This window comes from Homo sapiens, chromosome 13 (genome assembly GCF_000001405.40).
Source record: "Homo sapiens chromosome 13, GRCh38.p14 Primary Assembly".
Taxonomy (NCBI): domain Eukaryota; kingdom Metazoa; phylum Chordata; class Mammalia; order Primates; family Hominidae; genus Homo; species Homo sapiens.
The window spans coordinates 109,988,753-110,006,201 of record NC_000013.11 but is presented as its reverse complement, the minus strand read 5'-3'; the positions used below and the strand labels follow the sequence as shown (position 1 = coordinate 110,006,201).

The following is a 17,449-nucleotide window of genomic DNA, read 5'->3' as shown; positions in this document are numbered from 1 at the left end:
AGTGGGGAAAATTTGGAATGTGGTCCTGAGTGCTTGTGCTTAAGCACAGGAGTTCCTAGTAACATTTAATTGATGTGTATCTACAAATATTTACTGTGTATGCCAGCTGGCAATCTGTTTTGTACTTATCTGTGGATTTTAAGACATTTCCATGTGAGTGTGAGTGTAGAGTGTGTAAGATTTATTCGCGCCGGCAAGTGACCCAGTGGGCCCACATATTATGCAGAAATCCAAATCTCAAAGGATATCCTCATGTTCTCTTGAAAATACAGTGCCTTATTATATCAATAGATCAACTGCTAGGTGAAGCCAACCTGTTAATGTTGTGGCATAAATCTGAACAATTGGCTGATTTATTAGGGTGGTGCAGATAACTACCCAGTTAAGCCAAAACATCTGCTCTGAGGCATGACTAGATGGTTTGGACCGCAAGATCAGTTAAAATCACAAGACAGTCACTCACCAGCACTTGGGCCAGCCTTGGGTGCAGTGTCCCTGGTTTTCTCTGTAGACTGTTCCTCCCTGCAGGCATCACCCCAACATTGGGTGCAGCCCCACTTCCCAGTCCAGATATGCAGGGAGCAGGATTTAAGGAGGCACTCGTTCTCCCCTGCCTCCCCTGTATGTGCCCCACCCAGAGCATGGGTGCCTCCTTGAACTGTGCACCCTGGTCCCCTCACTTCCCTCACCTTAGTGCCAGTTCCATCCTGACTCTAAGGTCAACTGGACCTTAGGTGCCCTAAGAACTCAGTCTTATTCTCTGAGGCCCAGCAAAGTGGGGTTCACCATGTGTCTGGCCGTGACTTCATGCAACATCTGTGATAACCAGGATTATATTTTGCTCCTGTCATGATTCCAAGCACCCACTTTCCCTGGGACCATCCTATTTTCACACTTAATCCTCACAGTAGCCATGTGAAACGGCTCTTATCCTTGCTATTCAGATGAAGCTCAGAGAGGCTGTGGAAGTTGCTCCAAGTCTCATCGCTTGTGGTGATGGGGCTGGGGTTTAAATCGAGCATGAAGTCCAGCCTCCTCTTGTTTCCCAGTTCCCATAGCTGGCTCCCCATGACAGAGCTCTTTCCCAGTGCTCCAGGAAATGACCGTTACCCACTAGTATGACTAGGGTGCCATCACCCCCTTTGCACAGATACTCTGCATGGCCCCACTCTCTGACAACTGACCCTGTTTTTAGCCACACACTTGGATCTCCAAATATCACCAAGTCTTGATCTGGTGGTTGACAGGTGGGTCTCAGGAGTCCTGGCTTCACCATGTCATAGCATGTGATTTGGGGAAGTCACTTCACAGATGAGTGCCTTGCATCCCTCAGGTGTAAAGTGGAGATCCTTGGAAATATGTGCCTGGGAGGCTGCTGGCAAGACCAAATGAGGTGTGGTCAGTAAACCCCTTAGAACACTGCCTGACCTATAGGCCACATTCAAACAATGTCATCAATTATTATGATGCTTCCTAATGTCTGGGATTGGCCTTCCTCTTAAGAAACCCCATGTAGACTTCTGTGGTAGCAGCTGCTGGAAGTTTCTGTCTTCAGGGCCACCCCCAGGGCCATGTTTCTCTGAGCACCTAGAGATGGACTTGCTTCTCGGGCCTCTCCTAATCTCTGTGCCACTGCAGCTAGTTCAGCCCTGCATTAGAGAGTGAAGTGAATAGGTGACCTTCACAGGAAGTCAGTGAATGCACCAAAATGTTCAGTCGAAGAGAATGCTGTGAGGGACGAAGGGCTGGAATAAACTGGTGCACAGAAGAAACGAAGCACAAAAGATGTGAGCAAGAGCTGTGCTGACCACAATCCCCTCCCAGAAGGTACCTTCAGCATTTTGTTCACCCACAAGGCTGAAAAACATGGCTGTCATTGGTGAAAGACACTCTATTGGCCTAGGATGTTGTGAAAAGACATAGGTTTTTTTTGGTAGGGATGGTTGGGTGTATTAGGATTGTTCAGAGCTGCAGAACCAATAGTCTCTTTAGAGAGAGAGAGGAGAGAGATTTATTTTACGGAATTGGTTTGTACTACTGCGAGGGCTGGCAAGTCTGAAATTCACAGGATAGGCCAGCAAGCTGGATACTCAGGGGAGAGCCTATGGATATGACCGTTTAAGCCTTAAGGCCATCTGCTGGCAGGATTCCCTCTTCCTTGGGGAGATCGGCCTTTTACTGAAAGGCTTCAGCTATTTAGAGAAGGCCCACCCACATTTTTGAGGATCATCTACTTTGTCAGCGTCTCCTGATTTAAATGTTTACATCAACTAAAAAATAACTTCACACCAACATCCAGATGCGTTGGACCCGATATCTGGGTACTGTGGCCTGGCCACATTCACACACAACCTTAACTATCACATTGGGCCTTTGAAATTAACTGGCTGTCCAAGGCTGTCCGTCACCTGGGAGGTTCCCAAAGCAGATTATTTCCGGTCAAAGTCACTTTGTCAAGTCGTAAGTTGCCAGGGGAATTAAGAAAGCATCCCTTTAGGATGATGACTATGAGGCTTTTCAGATGGACCGATAGCATGCACGTGCAAATGGCAGATGTCTCTTTGTAGAATATTCTGGAGACATGGTGAGTTGTTCCACGACTAACCAACAGTAGACTCACACACGTGCACAACACAGTGCTGCTTTTGGTGCTGAAATAGAGAATTCTCATTGGAGAACTTAATCCTGGATGGGAAATCAGTAGAATTTTTCTTCTCTTTTCTTTTCTTTCTTTTTTTGTTTTCTTTTTTTTTTTTTTTGAGATGAAGTCTTGCTCTGTCTCCCAGGCTGGAGTGCAATGGCCCGATCTCGGCTCACTAAAACCTCCGTCTCCTGGGTTCAAGCAATTCTCCTGTCTCAGCCTCCCCAGTAGCTGGGATTACAGGAATGCAGCGTCATGCCTTGCTAATTTTTTTTTTGTCTTTTTAGTAGAGACGGGGTTTCACTATGTTGGCCAGGCAGGTCTCGAACTCCTGACCTCAAGCGATCCACCTGCCTCAGCCTCCTAAAGTGCTGGGATTACAGGCGTGAGTCACTGCACCCAGTCGGAAATGAGTAGAATTTTAAAGTTATACCCATAGAGCCTCAACTCACTATAACAGATAGTTAAAGAAAAAGCATGCCTTTGTTTTGCTCCTAATTGAAGGAACTCAGAAGAAAAGATTGCAGTTGTGTTGGGGACTGACGTTCTCATTTTTCTGCGCATCTACAGAGAGCATCAGCCTATTAATAAGACGATGAGTTATGATGACAGGAGAGAACACATTGGTGGGTATGACATGCTTCTGAGATTTTATGGATGCTGGAAGGAACAAAAATATGACCCCTTAATACTCTGATTTGTACATGGAGTACAAATTGTAATTGTTTGGGAAACAGCTCTGTCTTACTTTCACAGGAGCGGTATACATGGACAAACATTACTTTTTTAATGTCAAATAGTAAAATTGTACGGCGACAGAAGGGCCTTAGCGTATGGGGAATGAAATAGCCTGGACCTACTTGTGACCCCTTCAGAGCACTAAGCTTTCCTCTGTGGGGCACTCACAGCTATTTGGAGTGTGAATATGGGAGTTCACACGTGCTACACATGCAAATGGTAAACTTTGAAATGAAAAGTTTTCTGTTAAGGCTGACAGCATGGAGAACTTAAATTAGTTTGAATTTTGGTGAATGAGACCTGGGATTCTGGGGCCAGCCATTATTTTCCTGTAAATCCCAGGCATCGTTTCCTCGGGACCCAGGGTCTGGGTCTGCACAGTCCATCCTCAGCATCCCCTGCACAAAAGTCCTCTGCCCGGGTGTCAAAGCCACAGTCAAAATCTCACACATTACTCTGTGAAGGGCCACCTCCCCACGTCCCCCATCTCCACCCCCAGGCTCCATGTCATTCTCAGGCTCACAGGCACATCCCTCTCCCTGCCATCGTGGGATAACTCTTCCTGTTCCCTGTGTCTCATGTCTTCCTGTACACACACTCCCTTGCTATTTGCTTTTAAGACCTACACAAAATCCTCACTCTTTTATTATTCGGGGCCATCTTCTCCACTTTTACTCTAGTACCTACATGGTCTCTTCCTTGACCGCCACGTCTTCTTTTTGACTAAGCACTGGGGAATTCGATGGGTTATAGATGTTGACGCATCTTACTCTTGGACATTGCTGATCTAAAAGACAGCAGGTCCCATTCTACTGTTCACAGTTAGAGGACATCCTCCACCTTCTCCTCCAATATCCAACAATAACAACAACAAAAAAAACAGGACTGAGATCCCTTAAGCGTTTATTTGACTTAATTGCCATGAAGTTTGCTGTGAAAAAGACATAAATGTATATTTTTCTTGCAGTACTCACATAATCTGACTCATATCTGAGGAATTTGGACGTAAAACATTTTATAACAACACTGGAACTGAAGTCATTTTCATTCTCCTTGTCTGATCATACTTTCCTGAATTATTTGGGTAATTTCATGGGTAGTAAGCATCCTCTCTTTAAGGGGTAACATTTTTGAGAGTCTGCCTATCAGAGCTAAACTTGAGGGGAAAAAGAGCTGAGTTGTAGATTAGAGGAATAAATGGTCTTCCCTTTTCTCAATCTGTATGGACAAAGAAAGGAGATAGATTTTGTTGTAAGCCACAATACATTTCTTGCACTCCCGGCCTCAAGTGATCTTCCCCCACCTTGCCCTCCCAAAGAGCTGGGATTACAGGTGTGAGCCACTGTACCTGGCCATAGTACATTTCTGATCCATTAAAATGCAGACACAGACTGGAGTTAGGAGTTTTAGCTGCCCCATTTCTTTGGCTTTTGTTATTTTAGCACATGCGACATAACTTCAATGGCTGGCACCTGCATCTCTGTGCCTGGGGGCTTCTCCTGGTTCCTAGGGATTTGCTGTTTCTACAATAGGTGGGAGATACTGAGGCTCTTCACCTCCAGTTCAGCTCCAAACCAAGAACTGTTAGGAGTTGGTAGATAAATGCCTCCTCTCCCTCACCCCTTGGATGAGACAACTCTGAGTTGTCCAGTTGACACGGGTCCCAGCAGAATGAATCTCCAGTTGCCCACGGTGGCAGCACGCCTGGTTATGCACACTTCTTCAGCTTCCTTTACTTCCCTGCTTAGTTTAGTCCTTATTCTCCAGGAGGATCTTCCAAGTAAACTCCTGGCCTTTGAATCCCTGCCTTGGGCCCTCTTCAGAAGATCCTCAGACCAAGACAGGAGTGTAGATGCCAGGACTGCAACTGCACTTTTGCCACAAACAGCAAACCTGGGTGAGTCAGTCAGTTCATAGATTCCAGTTTCTTCATATGTCAAATAATTCAACTTGAGCAGCGCTGTCTCACGACAGCAATGCGACGTCTTGACACTGAAGCTAAGCTGAAGATGGTGATTGCTCTGTCATCCTCTCGTGTGCTGTTGAATTAGTATCTGACAAGCATTTCAGAGGAAAACAGCAGGAAATTTTCTTGAGATCATGGGTTCAGTAAGGTAAAATTCCATATGACTTTTCAATGGAAAGAAATTAATTTTATGTTATCTCGTCCTACTTCCATTCACACTGGTTCTCCTGCGTCGGAACTCCTATTCACTCAGAGTTGGTGTCATTTCATTTCCCTCTCCGTGAGTCCTGGTGCAGTTAGGTGGCTCCTGCAGAGACACAGGCTTACTTTTCCGGCTTCCCGCTGCCTGCGGCAGTAGAGAGAATCTTGTAGGGGACACAGAAGTGACTGAAATGAACCTGAGTGGCTGCTTGTTATCTATAGGGTAGGCGACCTAATGTTACCTGGACCTTTATCTCCGGTAAAAAGCGAACTCAGTCGCAGGGTGGAGAGAACCTCGGGCTCCATGCTCTTTGGAAACGAGTGCCTGGGGGCAGCTCTGAGAGAGTCTGCTGAATTCTTACAATTCCTGGGCGTCTCTTCTGCAAATCCTATTTGAACACAGCCTTTTCTGAGCAGCACCTCTGCCGCCTCTCCCAAAACGGCATACAGAACATGTGCCTGCACTTGCATGCCGTCTGCACACACAGAGCACCAGACCCTCCAACAGCTCAGGGGCCTCGCATCCAATGCTCAACACATTCCACGCTCACTGGGACGTTCCAGGTCAATGTTCCCTGTTTTTCCTGACTCTCTGCAGCATCATAGCCAGGGCTCCTTGGCTGTTATTTCTTCCTGCAATGCAGCCTCCGAGCTCACTGCAGGAATCTTTGAGAAATCGCAGCTCTTTGCCCCAGCACCTGACTATCGGTTTGATATCAGAGCTACTCTGAAGCCAATCATGCTACAGCAGGTTATCCTGTGATGTGCCCTTTGTGTTCCATGCCAAGGTGTCCCTTGGCAAATAAGCCTGGTTATCCATGCACAGCCTTCTAGGGCCAGCTGACAGGGACACTGTACCTGGTTGACAGTGGCACAGAGACCTCGCAAGCTACGGAAAGTGACAGTGCTCAGCCCAGCCTCAGCTCTGTGAGGTCCTTTTGCAAATTGGGTTGATTTTCTTCTTACACACTTGCTGGGAATTCATATAACTGAACTACAATATTTACCAACTTTGCATGTGTGTTTCTTTGCAGATTTTGGTGAGCATGCCAGATACTCTCCTTAAAATACATGAAGGGGAGAGAAAAAGAATAAATATGATTGAAATTTGGGGTTGCATTGCAGAAGTTCAGGACATTTATCAAGTTCTGCTCGAAAATATCTTGAGTTAGGATTTAGTTATTGCAAATAGCAGATGTCTGCATTTCCCACTGTTTTAAGAAAGGAAGTGAAGTTTATTGTTTTCCACAGATGTCATCTAAAAAAAGAGGAACAGGGTAACTCACATAGCCCCTTCCTGCTGTCAATCCTGGGATGCATTTTCTGTCTCCCAAACAGCTAGATGGAGCCCTTTCCTCTTTAATTAACAGAAAACCATTTTATGAATTAATTAACAAGTTGGAGAAGTCAGCCAACAGTGCAAGATCTGTATTGGAATTACTCATCAAACACATCTTCTCAGGAACAAGGCAGATGATGAGAGAGGACGGAGTGGAAGGGATGTAGACCAGTGCAGTCTCATAGCTGATCTGTCAGGAAGAGCCTCTCAGTAGGTCAGTGTACAAGAAAAGGGATGCATGGTAAAAAGAAAAAAAAAAGTACTGAAGCGTGTGATATGACCAATTGCATTACACAGGACGATGCCTTGAACAAATACCTTGGAATGAGTCAGGCAGAGTGGGGATATTTGCTTGATAAACCCTGGGGCTAGTTATTGCACCAAGTGGACTTTTCTCTAAGTGGTTAAGTCAAACTTGCCTGGGTTTTTCCCCCCAGGGTATTTCAGCATTCAGGAGAAAGAGGCTGTTGGAAAATTTAAACTCCAGTAACAGGTTGCAAACACAAACTTTGCTGTTTGTTTTTAAAGGGAGGTGTACAGATATAAATCTTGTCTCCACTCACCCGTAAGATTCTTGGAGACTGACATATTCCTTTTCTCTGTAAATTTAACTTAATGCTGTGTCTCAGGCAATATATACATTTTTTTTTATAATGGGCAGAAGGTTTTGCATTAAGAGGAAGTTCGCATTGAAGTTTATAACCTGATGTTATGAAGTGAGATGACTTTTTCCAACATTTTGTTTTAAAATTTTTAAATCATGCAGACAGCAAGTCAAGGGGGTTTTATTCAACACCTGTATGGACACCATTTAAGTTTAATTCTACCATCAACACTAGACTATACTCGCTTTATCACCCTTCTTTCTATCTGTAGCTCCAACCGTTCATTCATCTTGCATTTCTTTACACTTTCCCTTAACACTTCAACATACATACCATTAACTAGAGTTCAGTTTTTGTTTACAGGTTTTAATGTAAATCAACACTCTGAAATCAGTTTTGACCCATGAATACATCTATGTTACCCAACCTTTACCAGAATAGATAAGAACATTAGCACTATGACCCAGACAGTTCTCTCCCACTTCTCCCAGCCAAGTCCACCCCTCTCACTCCCAGAGGAAATTACTGATCTGATTCTTTTGCTTGTGGAAGAATTTGGAGCACATTTATTTCTCTTCATAAGACAAGATTACCAAAAGCATGTTAAACATACCATTCATAAGTTATTACATTTATTGCCTATGCTTTAGGAAACAACAGAAAGGCAAACTTTGGCAAAAGATGGCAAGGTCTTCTGACCCATAGTAACCTGAAGGCAGCAGTCCCCAGACTTTTTGGCAACAGGAACCAATTTCATGGAAGACAGTTTTTCCACAAACTGAGGTGGGGGGATGGTTTCCAGATGTTTCAAGCACATTACTTTTATTGTGGACTTTATTTCTATGATTATTACGTTGTAGTATATAATGAAATAATTATAAACTCACCATAATGTAGTATCAGTGGGAGCCCTGAGCTTGTTTTCCTGCAACTAGACGGTCCCATCTGGGGGTGATGGGAGACGGTGGCACCCAACTGTGTTGGTTATGTCTGGTCTACTCTGTATTTTTGATTTGGTTGCTGTCGCTGCAGAAACCCTGCTTCAGAAAGATAGGATGTTGGAAATGGAAGCAGGCTTTTCAATGCTTTTGTGGCAATCTCAAGATGTTCCTCCTTGACCTTAATCCAGAATGTATGGAGATTTGAAGTTGCCACAGACATACTTTTAAGGCCACCATCATTTGCAATCTCAAGCAGTTGATCCTCTTCTAGCACAAACAAAGTTGATTCACCTGGCTTACTCACAAATGGGTTGTGGATCCATTCCTTCCCACTTCCGGGGTCTTTTGTGGTTGGCAAGTAATGCTCAAGCTCTTTTGAAAGCTGAGGTAGGTGATCATGCACCAGCTGGGGGAAAGAAGGCCCTGGCTCAGCCTCTTTCAAAATCTCTGCTAATGTTTGAAACATGTCAGAAATCCCAGTGTTCACTCATCACCCCCGTAATACCAGTTTGGCTTCAAATGCGGCCACTTTATCTGCCGACTCGAACACAGTTGTCATTCTCTCCTGAAGTGACAGATTGAGTTTGTTGAGCAGGTTGAATATGTCACACAAGTAAGCAAGTTTTGCAACCCATTCTGTGTCACTGAAATGTGCCACCAGTGGTGACTGTTTTTCTAAAAGAAATCTCTGGGGCTGTTCTCATAACTCAAAGACTCTGGCCAGTGAGCTACCTTTAGAAAGCCATCTCACTTCTGTGTATCAGAGAAGACGTGTGTGCTCTGCGTCCATCTCCTCACAGAGCTGCAAGAACAGACGTGAGCTAAGGGCATGTCGTTGCTAAATTTAATCACATTCTGCAAAATGTTCTTAAGTTCAGGTGACATTTTTCGGCTAGCCAGCATGTCTCTATGGATGATGCACAGACTCACGTTCAGAACTGACCTCTTTGACCTGAGTAATGAAACTATAAAGCCATCCAGACAGACTCTGTCTGTGCATATACCGACACAAGATGACCAATTCAGTTTTCCTGATATGTAACCATTCGAAGGCCTGAATAGTTCTGCAGCTGTGGTGTTGGTTGGAAACAAAAGCACACATAACATATCCTCATGCACGTCCTCCTGAAAAATATATCACACAGAAACAAGCATTATTAGCTTTGTGGTCAACATCGGTAGACTTGTCAACCACAGTGCCTCATTAATCCTCTCTAAGAATTGTGCCTCAGTATCCTCTGCTATTTCTTCAGTTCATCTAGTTATGGTGCTACCCGAAAGAGGAACACATGCCACCTCTTGAACTGCAGCCTGCTCTAAATGTTCATGACAAATATCCCTAGCAGCCGTCAGGATCAACTCTTCACCAATAGTAAAGGGCTTCTTAGCTTTAGCAATGTGGTTAGCCACTAGGAATGATGCTCTCAGTGGAGACGTGTTTGAATGATGAAGTTGTGGCCTTGAATAATTGCTTCTGTTCTTTGTTTAACATTTTTTTTCTTTTGAAAAACTCCAAATGTTTGCCTTTTAATGCAGGGTCCTCAGTCCCTACGTGGCAATGCAGTTTTGAAGCTTCATGACCTCCTTGGATAGCTGGTCGCCATACAGTGTACAAAGCAGGCTTGGAGAATGTGAATCACCTGTTGCAATGAACGGGGAATTTAAGCAGGACTCTTGGTATTTTCTTTTAAATGCAGCTTTCTTTTCGTTGGCAGACTGAGAGTCTTCTGCTGTCTCATCATTGGTTCTTTTCCCCTTTTCAAAGAAGCTCTCCAGTGATGTTTGTTTTCTACTCATTTTGGCTGGGGTTAGCTTGTGGGCTGATCAAAACTGTGACTGAGACAAGTGTGCAGTGTGGGAAAGAGGTGTGGATGGAAGTGGTAAATAAAATAATAGGCAGGCCATGTATGGACTAAAATAAGTGTCGGATTCTGACTTAAAGCCTGCCATCAGATGCAACTGCATTGAAGTATATCAACTCACTTGCCACTACAAAACCTGCAGCTTAATTATCACTTGCCACTCACTGAGAGGGTTTTGATATGAGTCTGCAAGCAGTTGACTTATTACGGTCACTGTGCAGTCAAACCTCTCTGCTAATGTTAATGTGTATTTGCAGCTGCTCCCCAGTGCTAGCTAGCATCACTGCCTCAGCTCCACCTCAGATCATCAGGCATTAGATTCTCATAAGGAACGCGCAACCCAGATCCCTCACATGTGCAGTTCACCACACAGTTCACACTCTCATGAGAATTTAATGCTGCGCTGATCTGATAGGAGGTGGAGCTCAGGCGGCCATGCGTGCTCACCCACCAGTCACCTTCTGCTGTATGGCCCGATTCCTAACAGGCCACAGTACTGGCCCATGGCCCAGGGCTGGGGACCACTGCCTTAGGGGGATGAGACATTTGGCACCATGAGCTCCATGTGGACAAGCATCCTAAGGTGCTCACCTGGGTTTCCAGAGTATAATGGAATCAAAATTTGCTGTGATTTTTAAAAATAAGAGCTTTTGAATAAGTATACATTATAAAGTTTTTATTTACCTACTTCAATTATTCAGACGCACAGTTTTACAAACTATTTTGTAAAACCATTTTGTATTTACAGCAGAAGCAACTTTCTTCCAAAGTATGAGGTTTGAAGAGATGTGCTTTATGGACAAAGGCATTGCCATGGCTTCTGTACGCATCATCCATCATGCAGTCTTGAAATTTTCCAAGTTGCCTAAAAACAGAACGTTTGACCAACTCAGAAGTCAGTTCATCCATTTCCTTTTTACAGGACTCAGAACAGTCTTAACTCGATGGCAGGAACTGTGGGATGTGAATAAAGAAAGCAGAGACTCACCAAACTTGAGTGACAGGCCAGGGAAGTATGCAAAATTAGTCCAGCTCTCTAGATGGGCTTGACAGAGAAGAAAACCGTGTTGTGAGTACAGTACCATGTACAACGTTGATAGAGTCATTCCACTCTAACACTGGGCTCTGAAGCACAAAAGAGAGAATTTGAAATCATGTAGTATCTTCAGGTCCCTAGGAAGTTTTGCTTAGGTATTAGAGACCCAAGAGAAATTCATGTTTCTTTTTTAGTTCTGCATCATCCTTCAGTAACATGTTTTAATGTTTGAACATAGATAATGGCAAGGACAGAACCTCTGTCTAGCCAAAATACCTCCAGTGCCAGTTCCTCGGAGTGAGAACTTTGCAGGAAATGGAAAATTGGACCATAAGTCTGGGTAATGACCTTTTTTGTTGAAAAGCAGCTAATCCATTTTTATTCTGTTTTTCACAAAACAGAAATGAACAAATAATTTACCGTAAAGAATTTCCAACTGAACTTTTAGATTTGGAAAGAGATTTTCAGCAGTTGCTGTCAAGTTATTCCCTGATAGGTGGAACCCCTAATGCCTGCACAGTGGTGAGGGTCCAGTGATCTGTGACCACCCTGCGTGTGCAAGAGCTCCTGGGGGACACCCTTCATTGCAGGGCCATTTTGTTGGTGCCAAGGCTGGAAAACATGAAGTCCTGGGCTCTTTCCATGGATGTCCTCCCTTGAGTTAGCCATCTGTCTGGCCCTCTTGCAGAGTGGGCATGTGAGATCCTGTTTACTTCCAGCCTGGCTCCTTCATCATCTTCAGCTTGTTTTCGTTCTCAGATCAGTTCGCCTTCCTCTGAACCGGAGAAGCACCCCTCTGTGAAGAGGCTTGAGCCTAAATGAGACTAAACAGCATCATTCTGGGCTTTCTCCTGGAAAGCCCCTGACAGAGCACGGAACGTCATCCCTCCAGATGAGAAGAAGGCACTTCATCCTATAACACAGAAAAGCTTCTTTATGATGATGATATTCATTCCTATTTTTCCCCTAAGTCTGATTTTGAACACAAAAAGAAGAAAAATATTTAATTACTCTGAAATATATAGGCCCAAAGAATTATCAATAATGATAAGAATGGAGAAAAGTTGCTTCCATGTTAAAATTTGTTTTATTTCCACCCAGGTTGGTAGGCTGTGTGTTTGCAGATGATGATGATACTAAAGAAAGTAATGTGAACAGCTGGACTGACTCCTTTCATTCATTAATTCTACAAACATGTATTGAATATTGCCTATGCCCCAAGACTCTAATGGGTGCTGTATTCGTCTGTTCTCACACTGCTAATAAAGACATACCTGAGACAGGGTAATTTATAAAGGAAAGAGGTTTAATTGACTCACAGATCAGCATGGCTGGGAGGCTTCAGGAAACTTACAGTCATGGCGGATGGGGAAGAAAACATGTGCTTCTTTATACGGCTTCTTCACTCGACCTTGTAGTGCCGAGCAAAAGGGAGAAAAGCCGCTTATAACACCATCAGATCTCGTGAGAACTCACTCACTATCATGAGAACAGCAGCATAGGGGAAACTGCCCCTATGATTCAATCACCTCCCAGTGGGTCCCTCCCACGACACATAGGGATTATGGGAACCACAATTCAAGATGAGATTTGGGTGGGGACACAGCCAAACCGTATCAGGTGCTCAAAAAATAAGCAAATAAGAAATCATCCCTACCTCTCAAACTAATAGGAGACAAAGCTGAATAAAGGACTTTCCCTAAACATTGGCCAAAGTGAATGATTGAATAGATTTAAAATCCAAGGGGTATGGGTTCACAAAGGAGGGAACAGCTCATTTTGTTTGGAGTGATCTGAAAATGTGCCACAAAGATATCGAGGACAGCTGGACCCAGAACTTGAAGACTGGGTAGAAGTTTGCTGAGAAGCGAAGTTGAAGGGCATTCCTGGAAGAGGAACTAACAGATGCCAAAAATGGAATTAGAGGTACACAGCGCATACTTGGAACTGTGGTGGGAATGGAAGACTGGACTGGTTTGGAATCAGATGGCCCTAAGTTCTGTCCTAGATGTGCTGGGTAGGACACAGTTCTGTCCTTTGTGTGCTGGATAGGACAGGGGTGTCACCCAAGAGCTCTGAGCTTTGGTTTCTGTAAGTGGGAAGCTGGAATAATGATAACGCATCCTCCCACAGAGATAGGAGGATGGAATGAATAAGTGAAGTGAGGCCAGTGGTGATATATGTCATCTCGGGTCACTGGAGCCATAAGTGTCAGCCTACAGAACCCGGCAGCCGTAGGGGAATTCATCTAAAATGGAAGGCAGAGCCCTAGTAAGATGGGCCATCTGGAGCAGCCTGAGGAGGGGGGACCTTGTAGAATAAGCAATGGAAAGACAGCAGCATTTTTCATAGGGAAAGTTACCTAACGTTCTGAGTTTGAAATAGTTAATGCCATTTGCAGTGTGGAAAGTGGCCAAGTTAAGATGAGCCTGAAGTTGGGCTAAGCATTTGGGCAGCTCTTGCAATACACAGTGCTAGAACTGGAAAAATTGAAAAGAGGAAAGGGAAAAGTCAGCCATGGTTCTGCCACCTGTATGTCATAAGCACCTTGGTCTGTTTTGTTTTTAGTTCTTCTGTTTGGATGAGTTTTATTTGTTTGTTTGTCCTACATAATTCCACTCATATTGATGTCCATTTGCATACAAAGACCTGCTTCTAAAATGGCCTAACAGTGTATCTTGTGTGTGTCCATATTAACATACATTTCTCTTAATCCTCATTTTAAAATATTAGTGATTATGAATCTGAAATGAACTTTTTTTTTATTATACTTTAAGTTCTAGGGTACATGTGCACAGCATGCAGGTTTGTTACATATGTATACATGTGCCATGTTGGTGTGCTGCACCCATTAACTTGTCACTTACATTAGCTATATCTCCTAATGCTATCCCTCCCGCCTCCCCCCACCCCACAACAGGCCCCAGTGTGTGATGTTCCCCTTCCTGTGTCCAGGAGTTCTTGTTGTTCAATTCCCACCTGTGAGTGAGAACATGCGGTGTTTGGTTTTTTTGTTCTTGTGATAGTTTGCTGAGAATGATGGTTTCCAGCTTCATCCATGGCCCTACAAAGGACATGAACTCATGCTTTTTTATGGCTGCATAGTATTCCATGGTGTATATGTGCCACATTTTCTTAATCCAGTCTATCATTGATGGACTCTTTTGTGCCTTAAGTGCTTTGTGTATTTAACAGCTTTTCCTTAGGATGGATTCCAAGAAGTGAGATTGATGAAATTATATTTACATTTGAGAAATTTGGGGTAAATTTTCATGCTGACCATCAATATAAGGAAATGCCAGATATCAATTTATAGTTGTAAACAATAACAAGTATTATTAATTTAAAAATAACATATTAATAATAATATAAATTATTATTAATTTAAAATATTTATTACTTTAATAAGGGAAATGACATTACATTTTAATTATAATTTGTATTTCTTCAGAAACATTTTCTCATATCCCCTCTTGAATATTTGTGTTTGTATTATTTGAGTAAACACTAAATATTGGTGATTTGATCATGGTTATTATTATGACACAGAGTATGGGGTCTTTCAGTTCCAATGTTATGCCTGTAACCCATCCATCCATTCCTTTTCTCATTTATTGTTCTTAATCATTCTCAGTAGTTTTGATGACCTACTCTAAGGCAAGCATCCTTGAATCCTGAATTAACTCACCCTGGCCTCTGCTAGGCTAGAATATTACTTTCAGGGAAATGAGTTTAAAAATAATCACGTGTGCATGTGTAAGGGTGTATAGGAAGAAATGGTCTAATCTGAATTACTCTTGCAAGTTTTACTCCTGTTTTTTTTTTTTTTTAACTCACTTCTTATAGGTTCTAGACTGGAAAAGCATACATGTATTTTAAAGTGATGACTTAGCAAGCTGTAATCTATAAACCCTGGAGAAAAGAAAGTTATATAATTACCTCCCTTTAAGACTTACAAAACTGAAAACTAGCCAACATTACCACAAGTGTAACTAATATCTTTCAGAAAGAGACTAAACTGTCACCTCACTTCTTAACGTTGTTTTGACTTCCATGAATATATCCACAATGTTCTGTCTCTCTGTCTCTCTCTGTGTCTCTTTCTTTCTCTATGTCTCTCTTTTTCTCTTTCTCTGTCTCTCACATGCTCTCACTTTCTCCCTCTTATGTGTCTCTCTTTCCATCTCTGTCTCTTTCTCTCCTTATCTCCTTCAGCATAACTCCATCATCTAGTACAGTCAGACAGCAGGTGGGGCCAGGTGAAGTACTGAGCGCCTTTCGAGGTGGGGCAGGTCAGCTTGCAGTCTAGGTGTCAGGTGTCCGTGTGGGTGGACGATGGATGGTGAAGAGGTGCTAACTTGCAGGCTGAGCCTTTCCTAACTGGTGGTGAGAAGCCAGAGCCTCTCCCCAGCAGAGCTCTGTCCGTCCCCTGCCATTCCGCCATCTTTCACTGCAGTATGTAAGACTTCTGGTGCAGCACAAAGCCCAGGGCAGGCCACTGTTCACAGGAGCAAATAATTGTCCAAATTAATTAACTTATTTTCTTTTTGTATGAACATCCATGCTCAAAGCTCATTGCTCATTTAATTAAAGCCTTCAGCCTTAATCAGGATTACTTTATATGTAATTCATACATATCTAAGATATATCAACTGCTTTCATTGTTATGTGCCTGAAATGAAGACAGAGCCATATAATAATAATTAAAAAAAACTTAGGGAACTTAGGGGATAGAACTGCAAATAGGAGCTCAGTAAAATCACTATCAGTAGCATTTTCCCATGAGCTTGGTTGACTTTGGAATATTTTCTACTGGGAGATGCATTTAGGGATTTCTAGTCGCTACCATTCTTTTTTAAAAATTTTATTCTAAACACTCCACTTTCTGGTTTCTGTTTCTTTTTGAATAAATATTTTTGATAGTTTAATCTTTGGATGCTCATTCTTTTAGAATGACACATGAAACTGGGTCACGTGAGCTGGGTTGCATTGTCATATATTCCAGGGACATAGGGATTTGTAGCAGGGGTTGCATGAGAACTCTGGCAGGCCAGTTTCAGGTGACTGGAGCTGGGGATTGGCTGCGTCCAGAGCAGGTCACCAAAGCCAGGACATGGTCACCAAAGTCCATGGGTGTCTTTGGGTGGTGAGCATGGCTGCCTTTAGTGATTGCTGTACATCATTCCAAAACATCTGTGTCAATATTTGCAAGAGATTAAAAAGAGAAAATTACCTGGATTAAAGAAAATGAGGGAAATTAATATCCCCTATAAAAAAAAAGTATATGGGTAACTCTGACTTCATACATGGCTGGATTCAGGGCCCAATTTATGTCATCAAGATGCAGTTTCTTGATATCTCTTGGATCTATTATGCCCAATGTTGGCTTCATTTTCAGATTTGTGCAGTGAAAACAGGACCACCACCGGCTTTGCCCATTCAAATCTCACAGAGCAAAGAGAGTGCCCCGTCTCTCAGCAGCCTCAGTAACACTTTCATTTGCTGTGCATGAGTCAGAGTGAATCATGGTGGTCCTAGCCATGGCCGAGGGAAGGCAATCTGCCCATTGGGAAGGAATGAATTACAAACTACTGCACCCCAGGGAGCTGGAGCTGGGATCGATCCTACTGGAAATTTCATGACTTGAGATTAAGAAAAGGTGATTTGTAACCTAGAGAAAAATTAAGATGTCATTATCAGAAGAAACTTAAATGAACATAAAATAGTAAAAATAACAGATAGCTATCTGGGGATGAGGATGGGATTATGTGGAAAATATTGTAGCAAAACAGGGAATTAAAATTCTTTTAAGGAACTAGGTAAGCATTGGGTAGTCTCTCCAGAGCCTTTCTTTGTACTTGGAATGGCAGCTGGAGTTGGTGGCCTGTTTCAAAGAGCTGGGTTCTCCCCTGGCCTCCTTCCCACACCTGTGCTGTGTCTGGAGCAAAGGGTCTAAGTTCTGCCTGCTTCTGGCCCAAGGATTGGGAAACCCAGAGTCTAGGCTCCATATTGCAAAATAAGGAAGATTGTGTCCATTCTGCCTGAGTCCCAAACACAAAAGCATAGTGCTTTATGAATAGTAGGTGTATTATAATTGAACCAAACACAATCAAAGATCTT

General features: G+C 43.1%; 1 long non-coding RNA gene across 1 annotated transcript in view, besides 1 other annotated feature; it reads left to right on the top strand.

The window, feature by feature from the left end:
* LINC03082 (long intergenic non-protein coding RNA 3082) overlaps positions 1-17,449 on the top strand; it is a 145,761-nt gene that overhangs the window by 122,935 nt on the left and 5,377 nt on the right. The window lies entirely within an intron of this gene.
* Positions 8,008-8,177: an enhancer, noted in NCBI's record as "experimental_32398 CRE fragment used in MPRA reporter constructs". NCBI's record gives its function as "activates a minimal promoter by MPRAs in K562 erythroleukemia cells, with activity observed for the introgressed 13:110650457 variant allele {active_cell/tissue: K562}" and the evidence as "EXISTENCE:reporter gene assay evidence [ECO:0000049][PMID:34662402]".